General features: G+C 34.4%; 1 protein-coding gene across 6 annotated transcripts in view; it reads left to right on the forward strand.

Moving 5' to 3' along the window:
• CHSY3 (chondroitin sulfate synthase 3) overlaps positions 1-21,314 on the forward strand; it is a 282,656-nt gene that overhangs the window by 3,866 nt on the left and 257,476 nt on the right. For all 6 annotated transcript variants that reach the window (XM_011543363.4, XM_011543365.4, NM_175856.5 and 3 more), the window contains exon 2: positions 233-516. In XM_011543363.4, the coding sequence (XP_011541665.1) occupies positions 358-516 (159 nt within the window). In that variant the 5' untranslated portion in view covers positions 233-357. The remainder of the gene's footprint in view (positions 1-232; positions 517-21,314) is intronic.

Here is a 21,314-nt window from a genome sequence, read left to right on the forward strand (position 1 = left end):
AGGTTTTTCAGTGACCTTAACCAGAAGCTGGTACAATTTTAATATGTTTAAATTAATAACTATGAATTAGTCTTTTAAAAATAATAGAGTATTGGAAGAGGCTTTTTCTTCTTTTCAGTTGTGTAAGACTGAGGATTTTAAGCACAATGTTGAAAGTTCTGTCCCTTACCTTGTACATGATAAGTGATTATGAAATAAGGAGACATAGTAATTGTTGCCTTTCTTTTTGTAGGTGATAAATTAGAAGAGTTTCTTAGATCGCTAAACAGCAGTAAGCCTCTCTACCTGGGACAGACTGGCCTGGGGAATATTGAAGAGCTTGGAAAGCTGGGACTGGAGCCTGGGGAAAACTTCTGTATGGGAGGACCTGGCATGATCTTTAGCCGAGAAGTTCTCAGGAGGATGGTGCCACATATTGGTGAATGCCTTAGAGAAATGTACACGACTCATGAGGATGTGGAAGTAGGAAGATGCGTTCGCCGTTTTGGTGGGACTCAGTGTGTCTGGTCTTACGAGGTAAGCATGGAGCTGTGATGAAAATGTTCACATAGTACATATACATGCCATTTTATAATCTAGGGCAGCGATTCTATTCATTCTCTCTGTATCTTTGTATTTACTTGAAAGTGATAGTAGCAGCCCTTAAGGGATACAAGAGTGGGAGATAACTTTCTCATTAGGTGTCAGGCCTGTCTGAGACTTTGTTATTAGCATGCCCCTTAACTTTAAGCAGTGGCCTATACTTATGGCCACATCTCTGGAAGATGCTTATATCCTCCCCTGCTTGATTTATTGGTGCTTATATACATGTGAATCTATTTCCCTTTTCTAACAAGAGGTTTAATTTTACTCTTCTCTTTAGCTGTAGCCTTTAGCATTTGGTACTGTGCCTTTTTATTTTATTTTATTTTATTTTGGTTAGGTGTGTAATGGCATCTCTTTGTTTTTAAATGGTTAAAATCTGAAGTTTCTTTGGATATTTTCCAGTGGAAATTTAACATATTTTTAAAAGTATCAGAAAAGTAAACTAATAGTGTATCATTTATGGTAGATGTATTCACAAAATTCCAATCACTGTATTTCCTTAGGCATACAAAAGGAATGAGTTGTCTGGAAAAAAGCAGAAGTTTAAATGGTGTGCAGTAGCTGCTTAGTATTTTTGACAGGTTCCCTAAAATTTGTTTATGTCTATTCTTATGCTATTTTCTGAAAAGGAACCATTATTTAAATAATCTTAGCTATTTATTTATTGCCGTGATCATTTTTATGAAATACTTAGAGATTTTTTCTTCAGAAATTGATTTTGAAATGTAATAACATTTTATTTAAAATAGATTTCCTAAAAGATAATTTTAGTAAAAATTTATTTAACATTAAAATAATGTATTGTTTTTAGTATAGTTTGGTTTTCAAGTAGTTGGAATTTAGTATTATTTTAGCTACGGAGTGCACAGCTTTGTAAATTATATCTTAACTCCTTTGCTTATGTTTTCAAACTTTTCATGTCACTTAGTATAGAAGAAACATTTTATGAAAATATGTTCCCTGTGAAGTCACCAAACACACAGTTTCATTTGTTTTTTTTGTATTGTAAGTGTAGTCTCACTATAGTTAATTTTGCTTTCTCTTTCATACTTTGTGGTATTTATACTTTGGGGACATATTTTATACATTACAGAAAGTAAAATTTATTAGTCATTTGAAATAGGCATGAAAATTTGAAATGATTATGTTGCTGATTTCTTTTGATAATAAAATGGTAATTTGTAAAAACTATCCTACAACTACCCTTTAGGATAAAAATTTATGTAAAAACATTACAGTTTAGAGACAGGTAATCTAGAATAAACTCAATAAAATATTTCTTCCTTTGTTATAAAACAAAGTAAAAGACAAAAATATTCAATACAGAGAACATATTCAGTTGATTTTGTTTACATGCTGTTATTGTTTTGCAGGTATTTACTTTGCATGGATAAGTAAAAAAATATTTGTGTGGATAAGTAAAAAAATCTCACCTGTAGTTAACAATATAGATGGGAAATTATTGTGTTTTATAGGATACTTTATTACCTTAACATAATATATAAAATTTTAACCAAGATAGTGTTTAGGTGTTCTTCTTTTCAAGTTCTCATTGATTCTGCTGTGAAGGCCTAGTCTTCACCTAGCATTCCATTCATTCATGTTCAAGACAGTAAGATATGCACAAAAATTGGGAGCTCAAAAATTGATTTAATATTTTATTTATAATATAGGCCTTTGTTCTGGTTAAAGTGAAGAGAAGTTATATTATAGATGTGCACCCTGTCTATTAGAATAAGTGCAATCTTAGATCCTTTTATTAACTGATGTAAGAGCAAACAAAAGAGATTCCAAGTCTTACAGGCTGTAACCTGGTGAATATAACATTTTCCATAACTTTTCGTAATACATTTGAATTTAGACTGACACTTGACCATCACTGACTTATGAATCCGTATAAAACTAAACTAATTGTCTCAACATGTTTTCCTAGCATTATAAAATATTTTCTAGATAAGTACTGTTGACTTTATGTTTTGCTAAGTTATTATATAGAATTTACTTTGTATTGGGATTTCAGTCATTAAAGGAGCTATTTAAACAGTATTTATTTAAGGGAGGCATTGATTTAATTCTAATAAAAAATCTCAAAAGTCTTATATAGAGAAATGATGGTAAATTTTATTACCAAGAGATATGTGAAAAAGCATTGTTAGCAAAACTAGTAAAGATACATATACAAAGAGATTATATCTAAATTTTAATACTAGATTGTGTTCTATGTTTCATGAGACACCTAAGTACGTAACTTGGGGCACAGCTAAACTGGTTATAACATTCACAGATCCCATACTTCACTTTCTAATTTGGATTTTATGTTAGTGGAAATGGTGTCCATATATGATACTGTTCATATTATATAGAAAGATTGGTCTATTCTACTCCAGGTTGGCATTCTCAGTAAAGGTGAGATTTTACATCTGCTCATTAAAAAAGCTATGAAATTGATCATTACTTTTTTTCCCATAGTTCTTTTAAAAGCACTATCTGTGATAGAATTTTGGTAAATTTTTAAATTTCTTTTATCTATGCCTTTCACAAATTTTAGGATTTTTTTTTTTTTTTTTGGTTTATCCTCCTAACAAAAGTTCTTTCAGAGTTGAGAGTCCTGTTAAGGTGGCATGTTCATGATTTTTAAGTTTGAATAGATGAAGTGTTCATGATAGAATGTCATCTTTTAAAAATGGTGAACGTGCTTACAGATCTTATAAAAAGAGAATTGAAATAATTATTAAATAAAATATATAATTGTATAGTTTCCTTGAATATAAGTTATATTTTTTAAAAATCCAGGATTGAAGCTTCTAGTATTCTTCTTAACTGCTAAACTGAAATTACTTTCTCTGTGTTTGTATATACTATTAAAAATATGTTGTAAAAGAGAAAGAGAGAGAAAGGTAATAGCGGGATATGAACTGGGGTTTGAGCCACCATCCTAACACTTACTAGTTTAATTGTCTTTTGCAAGTTACTTCTTTAAGTCGTGTGTAATTCAACTGAAAGTGGAGATTTTAAGAGTGTTTATCTCATACATTTCAGGAAAGATTAGGTGAAATAATCCATGTAAAGCCCTTAATGTAGTGTCTGTCACATAGTAAATTTTCAGTAGATGTTAGTTTTTATTGTTCTAATGTTATAGATATCACGTACTATATTATACAACATGGATTCATATATTTCACTTAATAATCATTAGTAATGGATGGGTGATTCATTTACATCAAAAGGGTCAAAATAAAAAATAAATTCTCAGAGAGTTAAGCTTTTTTTGGCAAAGAATAAGAAACCAGTATGTTGCAGTATTTTAGAAATATGAGGAATTCAGTATTAGTAAAACTTACTATGGGCTGGGCGCAGTGGCTCATGCCTGTAATCCCAGCACTTTGGGAGGCTGACGCGGGCGGATCACTAGGTCAGGAGATCGAGACCATCCTGGCTAACATGGTGAAACCCCGTCTCTACTAAAAATACAAAAAATTAGCCAGGCGTGGTGGCGGGCGCCTGTAGTCCCAGCTACTTGGGAGGCTGAGGCAGGAGAATGGCGTGAACCCGGGAGGCGGAGCTTGCAGTGAGCCGAGATAGCCCACTGCACTCCAGTCTGGGAGACAGCAAGACTCCGTCTCAAAGAAACAAACAAACAACAACAACAAAAAAACTTACTATGAAATATGGACACCTGTTTTAAAAATGCATTACAAATATCTGTTTCAGTCTTTGCACCTAATATGTATAAGATATATATAACTGAATTTGAGGATGTTGTGTGGAAAATATTACTTAACAAGTTATTATTTAATATACATATATAAAGAATCCCAAACAGATCTACATAAGGAAAAAAATTACAGTATAGATTTCTAAATTAATTGCCAGAACAATGGCCCCCTTTTTTGAATTTCTCTGGCATCTTCAGTAGGGAAGGAAGTGAGTAGTATCTCATTCTCCAGTCAACTCATGAACACCCAGGGGCTTGTCTCTCAAGGCAGTGGGAACCTCCTCCTGGTGTACCTCAGGTCTTTGAGGTAATGATCTGCAGCTTCTGGCCTTTCTCTCAATAAGGCCCAGGTGGTCTGGGGAAATATGTCTTGCTTGTTGGTCTCTTGCTCTTTTTCTCTGTCTTCTCTGCTCACTTTTTCTATTTCCTTCCGCTTGGTGATAGATAAAATAAATTTCAAATGTATTTTGATATGTACTGCTTTTCACCAGGTTCCTAGTAAATTAATGTGCTCATATAGGCCAATCCAGATATCTTAAAAGATCACTGGATGTGCACCCAGACCACAGTAGATCACAGTTAGGCCTCCAGCATGGTCTGACCTGTTCAGAATAAAGAGGCCTTTGGTTGAGGGTGAGCCTTATACAGACTGGTTCTTTGTGTGCCTGTGATCATTGGAGAGTCTAAATTGAGATTCTCCCTTTCCCACTTAGGATTGAGGCATCTTGTTTTAAGGCCATATGGCAGATGTTAATAACCAACAGACTTCATGGGTTATACCTCAAACTTTATAAGCAAAGATTACTAACTGAATGAAGCATGCATTCTATTCTATTCACTCTGCAAGTGTTAGAATTTATTGGCCTCTCCTGTTGGCAAAGATCACACTTTTGGTTGAGCTCTATCTTGGCTACTGCTTTTCTAGAGCTGCAATCTGGCAGTTTGGGAGGCTGCATATGGCTCTTAAACACTGTTTGGCACATAGAGTATTTTAAGGTTTTTTGCTTTTGTTTTTGTTTTTTGACACCTTTAGCAGAGGCAGGCAATCTACAGTTCCCTTCATGTCCTCTTATTATTTGTAAGACTCTTCTTTCACGTTTATTTTCCCTGCCTGGCTTACATAGGCATAAAAGTTTTGATCTTTTGAACTAGATAATGCACATATTGCAAGTTTCATGATAATATTCTGTAGAAAATGAAGTGATTTTCCAGTGAGACTGAGAGGCATATTTAAAATACTTTAATTTATGGAAGAGTTAATATGTTACAAATTTGGCCATTAAAATTGTATATCATATAACATAGTTACATTTTATTATAGATATGTTTTTAGTAAATAACAAAAATATTCTCACTGTTAAAAATTATTTATACATTCATGTTCATTTTGTGTATTAGCAGAACTGAAAGTTTTGTTTTTTGATTTTGTTTTTAACAAGATCACTTATATTCAATTCATAAAATAATTTTAATTCTGATTATTGTTCTTCTCCCTTTGAAGGAGTTTTGCATTTCTTCTAAGAGTCAGTTTAAGAATAGTTTGTATTTATCATTTTAATGTTTGCAGTAAAATAGAGCCAAAGAAGATATCTATTTCATTCAATTAAATGTTATTTCAAAGACAGCAGGGTTCTATGTTGGTAAAAATATTTATCTGTAGTTTTAAAAATTATTTCATAAGACTAACTAGATTTTCATTAGACTCCTTAAAGTGATAATTTTACACTAGAATGTTTTATGTTCAATCTTAGTTTCTTAAAGTCTGTAAACACCCTAGGAAATTACATTATTTCACAAAAGGATATGTTCTGGAAGTGTTTTCCTGAGCTTGTAAGTAATATCAGAAAGCTGTACCATATGAAACTGAACTATCAATAAGTTCTTAATAACATATTTTTAAGGTTAAAATATCTGTGTTATTCTTATAGGGCTGCTGCACATCCTTCTTAGCTTCCTATTCCATATAAATTTCCCTTTTTTTTTGACACAGAGTTTCACTCTTGTCGTCCAGGCTGGAGTGCAATGCTGCAATCTTGGCTCACTGCAACCTCCCCCTCCCAGGTTCAAGTGATTCTCCTGCCTCAACCTCCCGAGTAGCTGGGATTACAGACATGCACCACCACACCCAGCTAACTTTGTATTTTTTTTAGTAGAGATGGGGTTTCTCCATGTTGGTCAGGATGGCCTCGAACTCCCAACCTCAGGTGATCTGCCTGCCTTGGCCTCCCAAAGTGCTGGGATTACAGGCGTAAGCCACCGCGCCCAGCCAAATTTCCCTCTTTTCTAATGTTGATTTTACTCAATCATGAACATGTTTATGCCCCCAAAGTATATTCATATATATGAAAAAGTATAAGACAGGGATTTTGATTTAAAATTCAGTCTTTCAAAATCTTTTCTTGGTCTGATTCAGTCACAATTTAGTTTTTAACTTTACTAAAAGCAGTAAGCTTCTCACACCTACTCTTCCCACTCTCATCCCACTTGTCAGATGAAATCATCATGCATCGATTTTGTAAAACTTCTTTTCTTCCACACTGTTTTCTTCATTATACAAAATAAAATTGCATTCTGAGTTGATGGAGAAGCATGATATGGTAAGCGTTGTAGGCTTAGATAGTTCATTTTTATCACTAACTGATGTCTTATCACCTAAATTGTGACAATTTATGCTTTCTAAGAAGATGATTTACTACAATTATGAAAAATGTTAAGTTTGGAAGATGCCTACAGGCAATTCGAAATAAGCTCTGTGATAACAAAAATACTCATATTAATTTAAAAACTTTGAATATTCTTTCTCTTTAATTGATCACAAACATTCTAATTTCCTGAAATAATTCCAGGTCAGTTTCCTACTTTCCCCTTCTTTGTCTTAGTCTCCAAAAAGCTATGTTTTGGGAAACATTTATTTTAGTCTCTTTTCTATTTAGTGAATTATGCTGAAATTACAGAGAAATATATTCTACTATATAACTATATTGCATTTAATTTTTATTATAGCATGTTATTTTTGCACCAGGTATAGCTGTTAATCAGGCATTTCAGTTAAAAAAATTCATTGAAATTAGAAACAAAATCAGCTGAGTTACATGAGTCATTATCTGATATTATTGAACCACAAAAAAGCCTAAGTAAACTGAAAAATTGAGGAGTTGCAGTTCTTCACAATTCTAATGTTCTCTTAAATACTGTCCTAACCATTAAACAACATTCTAGTTGAGGCTTAACTACATATAAATCGGTTTGAGTCGTGATCTGTGTTTAAAGATACTCTGTCTTAGAAAGTGTATAACACGTTTCTAAATTAACTGAATCAAAATAATGTGTTTAAAAAATAAGCAGGCACAATTTTTGAAGTAACAGATGAACGAAATGCATTTATTAATTTTTTGAGATTTAAAAAGTTTTACTCAACCTTTGTAATTTTGAAAGCTATGCTAATCATTCTTCACAGTCAGTGGTATCTGAACATGTCATTATCTCTTTCAGTTTCATTATTTTTTATTGCAAAGCTATTTGTTTATTTGTAGAGTTTCTGTGTCTCAAAAAGTGGTGGTTTAAAGAAATTAATATGTGTAATATTAATATAGATACTTTATAGTAAAATACAATTAAAATGTGAAGAAATAAGAGAAAAGTATGCAGAAAATATGATAAAACCATAAAAATACATGTTGGGTTCCTGTTTTCCTGGCATGAAAGAGAACTCTAACTTCTTTCGATACTGAGACCTGAGAAATCTCCCCTAGAGAACAGAAGGAAGTTGTGAGGGATGTAGCAGATCACATCCTTAGCACCACTTTTATAAATAGAGTAGCGTGGTTTAATTTGGATGTTCCTTAATAATTCTCTCAATAGAAGCCAGGGCTACAACTGAAAAGGGCAATTCTACAAAAGAAATTCAACTTAGAGATAATACAGTTATGGTCATAGTGTACTATTATTTGGTTCCTTGCTTGATTTTGTTTTAAAATATAACATACTCTTCAAAGAGCCCTTCAAGGATGTTATGTCTCACTCAAATGTTTGATATGAGGTTGCCCAACAGGAAGTTTGAGATATGCATATTCTCTGGTGAGAACCCAGAGTGTGGCTATTGTATTGTTGATTAACGGCAGATCTATAGTTATGCTTTGCTAATCAAGAGGAGGGTAGACATTAAATATACCAACCACAAATGGAGGAAACCAACTAGGTAAGGACAGGATGGCCCCCCAAACCGCGGAGCACAGAAGAGGTTCAGAGAATTCTAAACAGCTTGGGTTAGAAATGTGGTCACCTAGCTACTGAGATGATTATTTAAAAGGTCTGCTTTTATAATAATAATTTAATTTTAAGGTAAAACTTTCATGTAAAAATTAAAAAATGGAAAAATCGGCATTTTTATTAAAACTGTATTTTAATAATCTGATAACCCATTGTACAGAAATAATGTTATATGAAGTAAGGATATTTAATATACGTGAGTATCTCATAAAATATGAAAAAATATGGTGTTAAAATAAATTGAAAATGTTCTGCCTTAGAATTCAGTCATTTCACATCTTATGTAGCTAAATGATTTTATTTGCTCAAATGTATTTATTGAGCAGTTTTTATCAGCAGTAAACAACACACATGCCTTCCTTGTCTTCATGGAGTGCATAAGAAGGAGGAGTCAGGCTTCCTACTGATCTCTTGGTTTCAAATCTAATATAGAGTTGGGTTTCTCATCTCTGACATCCTTCTAAATTGTTTTTTTTTCATTGTAGGTCATGAAATATCTCTAGTTGGGTCCAACTTTGGTACCTCTCTCAGAACTAGGACGAAATTATTCTTATTTGAGTTTTCTTAAGTAAGCCTCTTCTTTTGTTTATATATCTATCCCTTGAAGAGGAGAAAAATAAAGACATTTTTAGTAATTTTCTTGTATATTAATATATTTTATGCCTGTTGAATCACACAAATAACTAGGACTTTGTATTTTAAGTTTAGCACTAGATTACCTGGCTTCTTACTCTAGTTTTGCCATTCACTAGCTGTGTGGCCTTACACAAGTTATTTGACCTCTCTGTGCCTTTGTTTCCTCATCTGTCTACAATGGGTCAGCCCTCATATCTGAGGTGCATTGTTTCTAAGACCCCCATGGATACTAAAATCTATGGATGCTAAAGTTCCTTATATAAAATGGTGTAGAACAATAGGCCTTCCATATCTTTTGATGTGGATGTTATTACAACAGAGAGCCTGTTGTAATAACAGTGCTTACTCACTAGAGCTGTTATGAAGATTAAACGAGTCAATGCAAATAGCAGCATTCAGAGTAATGTCTCACAGTGTTAAGCATTCTACAACTACTAGCTATTTTTGCAGAAGAAAGGCATGAAATAGTGCCAACTTCACAGAGCTGTTGTGAGGCATAAAAAGGTCAGTGTATTAGAAGCCCTTAGAATAATGCTTGCCACACAATAAACTCTGCATAAAGGTTAACTATTATTACTATTTTCCAGCTTATAATGTTTATATTATTTGTTCCCCTCGTGGGAGTGGGATAATGTTGATTGGATAGGTTTTCATTGCTATTTATTTTTGTATGGTGGGCTTTGCTGTAATAGGGAAGGTGTTCATTCAGAGTGGTTCCTGACAGCGCAATAGAATTTTCAATGGACTTTGAAAAAATTCTGATGCTGGACCCCACCCTTCATCCGTTATGTCAAAATCTCTTACAGGTGAGGCCTGCAGCATGGATAGTGTTTAAAACTTCTCAGGTGACCCTAATTTGGCTTCAGGGTTTCGACCACTGTGTAAATTTGTTTTTATCAATTTTCCATATTCAAATATCAAGTCTATTTTAATCAAACTAACTATTTGTTAAAAGTTAGTTTTGCTTTGTTTTCCTTTTGGGGAATCACAGGAGAGTAATGAACACTTCTGCATTTCTGTTCTTGTCTGGCCTGTTACTCGTCTATTCCAAAGAACTAATCATTGGACTTTAAGCCATCACTGACAACTCTATGTTTTCTCACGATCTGATTTTCATGGTTCATATATTAATTACCCTTTTCTTAAAAAATATCCAAGGTGGATTTTAAAACATTCTCATAAAGATATGTTTTCACTGTACAAGGCTTAAGGTTTATAGTTGTGTTTATTTATTATATCTCAGTAATACGTAATAAGAGAGTTCTTATGAGTGGAATGTCTACATTGGCTCGATTGCTTTAACATTGACTTAAATAATTTGATCTCTGATGGACGAAGGTATCAGAACTACATGTGTGATTAAATAATAACTTTTTAGATTTTTTAAAAGCTTAAATGGGTAATTTTGATTCTATGCCATCACTCTCAACAAATAGTTTTGAGCCCACTGCTATAGGTGACTGCTATGATGGCGGAAAGTACAGGATACACAGGAGTTTAAGGGAAGAAATGCCCGAGGAGAGCAGGAAAATGCCTCCTCCAAACTGGAAGTAACACATAGGGGCAATGCCAGGTGAGTGGGGATGCATGGGCAGGCAAAGATGGAAGAATAGTACACTGGATAATGTGTTTGGTTCCAGCATATGTACAGGTGGGAGATGTGAGGCCCAAAAGCTGTAGTTAGAATCCAATTGTGAAAGGCTTTTTATGTAATATTCAAAGGTTTAGATCATACATTGTAGATCAGTGATTCTCTTTTAAAAAAAAAAAAAAATTGGCCGGGCGCGGTGGCTCACGCCTGTAATCCCAGCACTTTGGGAGGCCGAGGCGGGTGGATCATGAGGTCAGGAGATCGAGACCATCCTGGCTAACAAGGTGAAACCCCGTCTCTACTAAAAATACAAAAAATTAGCCGGGCGCGGTGGCGGGCGCCTGTAGTCCCAGCTACTCGGGAGGCTGAGGCAGGAGAATGGCGTGAACCCGGGAGGCGGAGCTTGCCGTGAGCCGAGATTGCGCCACTGCAGTCCGCAGTCCGGCCTGGGCGACAGAGCGAGACTCCGTCTCAAAAAAAAAAAAAAAAAAAAAAAATTTATTCTGCTAATATATTTTTTTAGAAGGTAAAATCATGATTCTTGCAAAAATATACACATTGAAGGTCTTATTTATTTCATCAATTAATAAAGAAATAATGCTACCAACTGTTCAGAGAAGAACCCAAAGACAGTTACACATATCAGTATTACAGAATGCTGGGATAAATGTGCAAATAGATGCAAAGGTAGGAAAACTGTTAATATCTATAAGATGTTGTCAACTAATCAGTTGCACTCAGTGGACATAGTTGGTGTATTAGTCTTTTCTCACACTGCTGATAGAGAGATACATGAGACTGGGTAAATTATAAAGAAAAAGAGGTTTAATGGACTCACAGTTCCACGTGGCTGGGGAGGCCTCACAATCATGGCAGAAGGCGAAAGGCACATCTTACATAGCAGCAGGCAAGAGAGAGAATGAGAACCAAGTGAAAGGGGTTTCCCCATGTAAAACCATCAGATCTTGTGAGACTTATTCACTACCATGAGAACAGTATGAGGGAAACGGCCCCATGATTCAGTTATCTCCCCCGGGTCCCTTCCACAACACGTGGGAATTATAGGAGCTACAATTCAATATGAGATTTGGGTGGGGACACAGCCAAACCATATCAGTTGGCATTCTGTCAATGACACTGATTTGTATAACTATAATAAAACATTTTTATTCTTATTATATATTAACAAGTTATAGTTGTATATGTATGTATAAGGTAAAAAGTGGTATAATGATTTTTTATACAGTGTGGAGTGATTAAATCAAGCTAATTAACCTATTCATCACCTCAAATATTTGACAATTTTTTCTGAAGAGAACATTCAAGATTTACTCTTAGTTATGTTGAAATGTACAGTATTCAATTATTAACCATGTTTACCATGCTGTGCAACAGATTCAATTAAAAAAACAAACTTTTTCTATCTAATTGAGGCTTTTTAATCTTTGATTGTCATCCCCCTATTTACCCCACCTGAAGTCCCTGGTAACCACCATTCTACTCTCCATCTATGAGTTCATTTGCTTTAGATTCCATGTAGAAGTGAGGACATGTGGTACAGTGGTCCTCCACTAATCCACAAGGAATAGGTTTCTTTTTTTGTTTGTTTGCTTTTTGTTTTGAGACAGAGTCTTACTCTGTCACCGAGGCTGTAGTGCACTGGTGCACGATCTTGGCTTACTGCAACCTCCGCCTCCCAAGTTCAAGCTATTCTCCTGCCTCAGCCTCCTGAGTAGCTAAGATTACAGACATGCGCCACTACATCTGACTAATTTTTGTATTTTTGGTAGAGATGGGATTTTGCCATGTTGGCCAGACTGGTCTTGAGCTCCTGATCTCGTGATCCACCCACCTTGGCCTCTCAAAGTGCTGGGATTACAGGTGTGAGCTACCATGCCCAGCCAAGGAATTGGTTTCAAGACCCCTGGTGGATGCCTGAAACCCTCTGTAGTACAGAACCCAGTTACCATCAGTTGGAACACATTTCTCATTGTCTTCTATCCATAAATTTAACGCCCTTCTGTTATAACTAAGCACTTATCACACACTGTGGTTGTAACTTTTACAGTTTGAAGTGTATCAGTAAAGCTAGCACTAATTTCTTTCTCTTTCTTTGTAATTTCATGGATAGAAGTGTCATTCTTACATTAGACCTTAGCAACCCCACCATAAGATTTTTTTTTTTCTTTTTTATTTAAGACTGTGTTTCACTCTGTCACCCAGGCTGGAATGCAGTGGTACAATCACGACCCTCTGCAGCCTCGACTTCCTGGGCTCAGGTGATCCTCCAACTTCAGCCTCCTGAGCAGCTGAGACTGCAGGCATGCACCGCCATGCCCATCTAACTTTTTTATTTTTTTGTAGTGACGTGGTTTTGCCACGTTATCCAGGCTGATCTCCAACTCCTGAGCTCAAGTGATCTGCCTGCATTGGCTTCCCAAAGTGTTAAGATTATAGGCGTGAACCATCGTGCATAGCCGATTTTTTTTCTTAAGTCCAGAACTTTCACCTTTTCACTCCTAGGAGACATTATATGGCTTCTCTTTGGCATACCAAAATTGCCAGCATCGCTACTCTTGCACTTTGGGGCCGTTATTAAGTAAAACATGTACTATGCACAAGCACTATGATACCTTGACACAAGCATTATGATACCTTGAGCACAAGCACTATGATACCTTGACAGTCAGTCTGAGAATCGAGGTGGCTACTGAGTGACCACCAGGCAGGTAGCATCTATAGCAGGGATCCACTAGATAAAGAGACGACTCATGTCCTGGGCAGGATGGAACAAGATGACTCAAGATTTTATCACTCTATCAGAACAGTGTGCAATTTAAAACATATAATTTGTGTATTTCTAGAATTTTTCATTTAATATTTTTGGACCAGAGATGAGTACAGGTAACTGAAACCCTCCACAGAAAGTGAAATGGTGGATTAGGGAGGACTACTGTATTTGTCTTTTTGTGCTTGCTTATTACATTAGCATAACGTTCTCCAATTCCATCCATGTTGTCACAGATGAGAGAATTTCTTCTATTTTTACTTTAAAACATTTTTATTTTTAATTTGTATGGTATGTGTTGTATATATTTATACAGTGCATGTGATTTTTTGATACAGGCATACAATGCCTATATCAATTCAGGGTAATTGGGATATCTGTCATCTCAGGCCTTTTATCATTTCTTTGTGTTAGGAACATCCCAATGTCACTGTTTCGGTTATTTTAAAATATACGATGAACTATTTTCATCTATAGTCACCCTATTGTGCTACCAAATACTAGATCTTACTCATTCTATCTAACTGTATTTTTGTACCCATTAACCATTCCCACTTTAACACACTCTACCCACCCCCAGCCTCTGGCAACCATCATTCTACTCCCCGTCTTCATGAGTTGTTGTTTTAATTCCCACATGAGTGAGAACATGTGAAGTTTGTCTTTCTGTATCTGGCTCATTTCACTTAACATAATGCCCTCTTGTTCTATCCGTGTTGTTGCAAATGACGGGATTTCATTCTTGTTTATGGCTGAACAGTACTCCATTGCATACATGTAGCACATTTTCTTTATCTGTTCATCCACTGATGGATACTTAGGTTGATCCCATATCTTGGCTATTGTGGGTAATTCCGTAATAAACATGGGTGTGCAAATATCTCTTCAATGTACTGATAACATTCTCCTTTGGATATATACCCCAAAGTGAAAATGCTGGAACATGTGGTAGTTCTATTTTTATTTTGGGGGGAGCCCCCATATTGTTTTTCATAATGGCTATTCTAATTTACATTCCCACCAAAAGTGTACAAGGGTTCCCTTTTCTCCACATTCTCACCAACACTTGTTATTTTTGATCTTTTCATAATAGTCACTCTAACAGGCATGAGGTGATAGCTCATTGTTGTTTTAATTTACATTTCCCTGATGATTAGTGATGTCTAACTTTTTTTTTTCATGTATCTGTTAGCCATTTATATGTCTTTTCAAAAATGTCAATTCAGGTCTTTTGCCCATTTCTTAATCATATTATTTGTTTTCTTTCTGTAGAATTGTTTGAATTCCTTATATATTTTGGTTATCAATCTCTTACTAGATATGTGGTTTACAATCATTTTCTCCCATTGTATAGGTTGTTTCTTTACACTGTTAGCTGTTTCCTTTGTTGTGCAGTGATCAGTTGTTCTTAGAATTACCTGGAGTGATATAATTTGTCTAGAGCCGTGCCCATGCATAGTATTGTTGAAAATCTTTCTGGATGATTCTAATGAGCAGTCATGTTGGAAAATCAGTTCTGTAGATAATGGGGAGCTTTGAAGAGTTCTGAGTAGGTGAGCACCGTGATCAGATTACCTCTTGATGGCTGGAGCATAGAAGGATGTATTGGAGGTTTTTGTTCTTAGAGATTGTGACAATTGACAGCTATTTCCCCAGACCCAGTGAGAGATGAATTTTAAGTCATAGTGGAAATGGAAGTGAGGAGATGGACTTAAGAGCTAAGGAGGAGAGAGAATTTGCAGAACTAGTGATTGATTAGAGATGTAGGAGTGGGATGTGGGAATTTTTAAGATGATGCCTAGGTTTGGATTTGGATGATAATAATATTCCTAGAGATAGGGTATAAGAGAAGAAAAAGAAAAAAAATAATATTCCTAGAGATAGGGTATAAGATAGGTGGTTGTTGTGTTTGAGCCATTGGGAGAGGGTGAAGAGGAGTGAGTTTTGCTTTGTGAACATCGAGTTTCATTCATTATTCATTTACTCAACAAATACTTATCGAGCATCTAATATGCCAGGCACTGTTCCAAGTGCTGGAGTTGTAGCAGTCAAAAAAAATAGACAAACTTCCCTAACTTATTTTATAATGGGAAAGACAAAATATAAGCAGGGGAAATGAATGCAGGGTGGTAGGTGTGCAGTTATGAATAGGGTGGTTAGATGGACCTCACTGAGAAGATGATATTTAAGCTATGCAGATGTCTGAGGGAGAAGCTTTTCTGCAGGAAAGAGTAGGTGGACAAGTCCCCTTGGAAACACAATTGGCAGATCAAGAACTAGGCAGAAGGCAAGGGAAACTAGAATTGAAGAAGGCACTTTGGGACAGTAGTAAAACGGGATGAGAGAGGAAAAAACATGGGATATGAGGGCAGATATCATGTATGGCTTTGCAGCCCTTTGTGAAAACTTTTTAGTAGAAAAGTAAGGATCATCTAGCTGAATAACTTTCCCAGATTAGGCAGGCAGGGGTACAAATCCATTGTGAGTATTATCAGACTGCATAAATGTATTTGTTTTAAGTAAATTATATTCATGGGTAAAGTAGTTAATATTTAAAATTAAAAAATAAATTGTATCACAGCCATAGAATTAAAAAGTTTAATTTAAGATTTGATTTATTAAACTTAGTAATTTGTTTGAAAATTATATAAAATTTAAGTTCTATTTAGTGATTTGAACTAAATCACTAATATAAAATGGTTCAAACACTAAAAAGCATAAAAATACATATAATGAAAAATCAATTTCTGTTCTCTATCTTCCTAGAGAGCTTCCCCCAACCCCCTACTAACCACTCTTTTTTATATTTCCATAGTTTCTCTCAAACATTAGACAACTTGATACATATGTTACCTCCTCTGCCCTCAATTTTTGTTTATCTCAAGAGGTGACATATTACTCAACATTGTTCTGAATGCTTTTAAAATTAGAATTAACGGCCGAGCGCAGTGGCTCATGCCTGTAATCCCAGCACTTTGGGAGGCCGAGGCAGGCGGATCACGAGATCAAGAGACCAAGACCATCCTGGCCAACATGATGAAACCCTGTCTCTACTAAAAATACAAGCATTAGCCAGGCATGGTGGCATGTGCCTGTAGTCCCAGCTGCTCGGGAGGCTGAAGCACAAGAATTGCTTGAACCTGGGAGGCAGAGGTTGCAGTGAGCCGAGATCATGCCACTGCACTCCATCCTGGTGACAGAGTGAGACTCCCTCTAAAAAAAAAAAAAAAAAATAGAATTAACTTTCTGTAGTTATTCTTATGCCAGTACCTAGATATCATCTTTATTCTTTTTTTTTACTTTAATGCTGCCTAGCATTTCAAACCAATTGAATTATTGTTTTAAGAGAAGTGCATGCACTTCTATGAGAGCAAGAGGAAAATGCACTGCATAGCATCCTCCAATTAACACACAAATTCCCAGCCTTTTTAGACTACTAAAAAAATTTTTAAAAGAGGAGCAAATTCCTCAAATAATGATTATCCCTCTTTAATATGTCTCATTTGTTTATTCTACATTTACTGAGTATGTCTTGGAAAACACATACTTTGCTGAGTGGTGGGATAGGTGAGTTCTCTGTCCTTGTGGAATTTATATTTTCATGGAGGGAGATAAAAAATAAGTAAACAAATAGATGATCACAAACTCTGAGAAGAAATGAGCTATATTATGCAGGAAAGATTAAATGCGGAGGCCACTTCAGAGTATTTCACCAGGGAAGGCTTCTGGGAATAGGTGACATTTGAGCCCAGAAGTAAAGCATAAGAATGAACCTGGGAAGAGTTGAATATCTAGACTAAGGCCTTACTGAGATGTGTGTAGAATTGGTTATGGGCTAATGTGGTTGATATATAAACATTCAGGGAGAAATGACATGAGAGTAAGGTTCCAGAGAGGCAGGAGCCAGATGATGGAAGAGAAGTTTAGTAAGAGAAATGGGAAGGCTTGAAAGATTTTAAACAGCTGAATGATCTGCCTTATTTATAACTTCATGTTCTTTTTAAAATTTTATTTTTCAGTTGACAAATAAAAATTGCAAATTTCTGTGGTGTACAACGTGGTTTTGATATATGTATACATTATGGAATGGCTGAATCAAGCTAATTAGCATGCGTTACCTTGCATACTCATCATATTTTTGTGGTGAGAACACTTAAAATCTACTATTTTAGTTGTTTTCAAGTATACAGTATATTATTATTAACTATAATAATCACAACGTACAATAGCTGTCTTGAACTTATTTCTCCTATCTAACTGAAATTTTCTATCCTTTGATCAAAATCTCCCAATTTTCCATTCCCCAACCTCTGGTAAACACCATTCTACTCTCTGCTTCTATGAGTTCACCATTTATATTTTTTTAAAGAAATGCTTAGTGTGATCTGAAAGGGAGAAATTGTAATATTAAAACACGTTTTAGGTATTCTTGAATATTTCTTATACTAATGTGTGTGTATATATGTGTGTGTGCATGTATATATATATGCATTTATATAAAGCATTTATCACTGCATGAGATTGTGAGGGCAGTTATGGATATTCTTTATTATTAAATGGCCAGTAAGAGGATAATGGACATATAGGATAATAAATCTCCAGTTGTAAATTTGAGTTTCTGTGTATTTTATGTGATTTACCAGCCCTTGAATGCAATATATTCTGTCATTGAGAGTTTCTGAATTAGGATTACAAAACAAATTTGGGGCCATTAAAGCATATAGCATGGAACTTGATCACACATTATTATTTGGTCACGAACCAAAGTTCTTTTTATTTCCCTTGAAAATTCAGTTTAGATGGCCAACTTATTGATTATTTACATGATATTATTTGTCAAGCCCACAGGTTATTTTTGTAATACAGAATCATTTAATAAAGTTTCCATCTGAAATGTCTTTATTTTGGTGTGCCAAATCTCTTAAGATATGTGTCTTATTTTGTGTAACTGGAGTTTAGATTTATGAACATATAGTTTTATTTTGTGTCTTAATTGAGTTGTAGGTACTTCTACTGTAAACAGACTGAGAGCAGCATAACCTTGGATTAATTTAAAATATAAATCCATGATCATTGATTTTCCACCCATATAATTGGTTATGTTAAGATTCATGTGATTCCCCTACGGTTGTTTAAAATTCTGCATTTCTCATATTTGACCTTCATCTTGTTTTGGTTTCCCTTTTTTTTTAAATAATCTTAATGATTTATGCAGTTGTGGTAAATCAAATTTTAGCAAGAATGTCTTCTGACTTTAGAAAGTCTATAGAAACATTTACCATAATCAAATAACTTTTGTTATTGAGCGTTTGCTCTTCTGATGACATATTTTATAGTTTTGTTTGTGTTTTTTCCATTGGTTATAAGCATATAGTTGATAAATACTCTTGTTGGTATACATATTTGTTACATAATATTTATATATTCAATTCACTAACTTCTGCATGTCGATTGTCTAACACCTGGTCAAGTGTATAAATAATTTTAAATTTATTGAAATTGATCTGTTGTTTTATTTAAAGAGCATTTAACAGTATACCACAAATTGGTTTTGTTGAAACCTAGGCGACCTAATGAATCATAGTGTATTAATAATAAAACAAACTTACTTGAAACAAACAATAAATGTAGATATTTTCATGAGGTCCTATAAGGCCCTGATTTACGTAAATTTTAGTATTCTGTTTTTTTCTTAACTAAGTTCTAATTTTTTTAAATTTCAACTGAATTTTCATTTTATGTTCTTTATGCCTCTAATATTTCTTTGTTTTCTGGTCTTCATATTGTTCAGTGCTATCAGCAGGTTTTATTTTGCCTCAATTCATTTTAGAAATGGTTCATTTTCTGTTAAATACTACCACATTGCTCTGGAATTCTTGGACACATTATGAATTTCAATTACATTTTTCTTAAAAAAAACTTTTGACATTTGTAACAAATGGTCACAAGAACTAAGTTTTGTGTTTGGGACATTGTGTTTGTAGATTAAAAAATCAACCTACCCAAAACCCTTAAAATATCCAAGCTTGTAAAACTTGAATTGCATTTGAATTACACCAAATATCCATTTCATCAAGTATGTCGTTTGCAGAATTGATTGAAACAGTTGATATCGAGTGAAATTGAGTTCATCAAATTTGGCAGACAACTGTAATAATTGAAGGAAAATGTCTGTGAATGATTGAAGGAAAATGCATTTCGTTGTATTTCAGGTTTTATTGTATAGTGGCACATATCAGTTTCGTGTGTAAATAAGTAATAATACTGACAATTCCTGGTTATGTAAAACATTTACACTTGTATTTTTTTTAAAGAAACTGTATTTTCATTTTATTTTTTTCCCAAAAGATTTGTGGTTGAACACATTACAGGAACATTTTTTTAAAGGATTGGAGTGGTTAATCCCTTTCTTGTTTTCCATTTCTCCATATTAGTGTTAAATTCCAGTTTTTGTGTGTGTGTGTGAGTTTATAGGATATGTAGTTGACCTGAAGCCCCCACAATTCCTAGGAAAAATGAATCAAGAATGATAATTTTATGTGATTCTTATTGGCCAATTCATGTGGTTATTAATCATAAATTTTAGAATAGTAGAAAATTATGAAAATACATTTTTAAAACTTTTAAGTTCGGGAGTACATGTGCAAGATGTGCATGTTTGTTGCATAGGTAAATGTGTGTCATGGGGGTTTGTTATACAGATTATTTCATCACCCAGGTATTAAACTTGGTATTCATTTGTTATCTTTCCTGATCCTCCCTCTCCCCACCCCCCACCCTGTGAAAGGCTCCAGTACTCAACTTCACTGATCATTAGAGGGAGAAAATAAATTTTTTGTTAGTTCATATTTGTCATTTTTTCAGTAGAATAGAATTTACATGGCTTGGCCAAATTAATCTAGAACTGTATCTAATAGTTTTTATTTTTAAATAAAACAAGTTTTTTTATTTAACAGTTTGGTAGATAATGCTGGCATCATTTTGTACAGCTGCTTTGATTAGCTTTGTTTCTTTTGGATGCTATATTTACAGTTGAAGTAAATTTAGGTGAGTCTCTGCATCATTTTAACACTTAAGGTATCATGTAACTTGTGGAGGAAATGGCAGTTGGAACAAAGACTTATTGTAGCATAAAAACCAGTATAGATACCTAACTAAATGCTGATCTGTAGCTCGGTGTGGTTCTATTAATTTCTACCTTCTTTCATTATAGAATTAAAACTATGCTAAACAAGTCTCAAATATCTGGTATTTTATTATGCTGCTGATGAACAATAATCTAAATGAACATTTCTGAGTGTATAAAATAATGATAGTAATAAGCATAAAATTGATTTATATTGATATGTAGCTAAAACAATATTGACCACATTTATGTACCAAGCTGTGTACTGGGTGCTTTAACACAGTTTTCTGAGCTATAAAGGGGATTAAGTGAGTTCTTTGCCCTATGCCACAAATGAGGGAACAGGCTCAGAGAAATTTAATAACTTGCCCAAGATCACACTGCTAGAGAGTTGTTAGGGTCTTGCTTTGAGCTCTGGCTTATTTTATCTCAAAGACTATATATTCTTCTCACAATGTTACACTGAAATTCTGCTTATGAGTTCAAAGAATGGCATTTCATTTTTATTTTAAAACTGCAATGTCAGATTGGAATAGACAAGTTCAAGTATATATAATATAAGGAAATGGGAAAGAAAAGAGGTAGGTGACAAAGGTCAGACAGT

This window comes from Homo sapiens, chromosome 5 (genome assembly GCF_000001405.40).
Source record: "Homo sapiens chromosome 5, GRCh38.p14 Primary Assembly".
Lineage (NCBI taxonomy): Eukaryota > Metazoa > Chordata > Mammalia > Primates > Hominidae > Homo > Homo sapiens.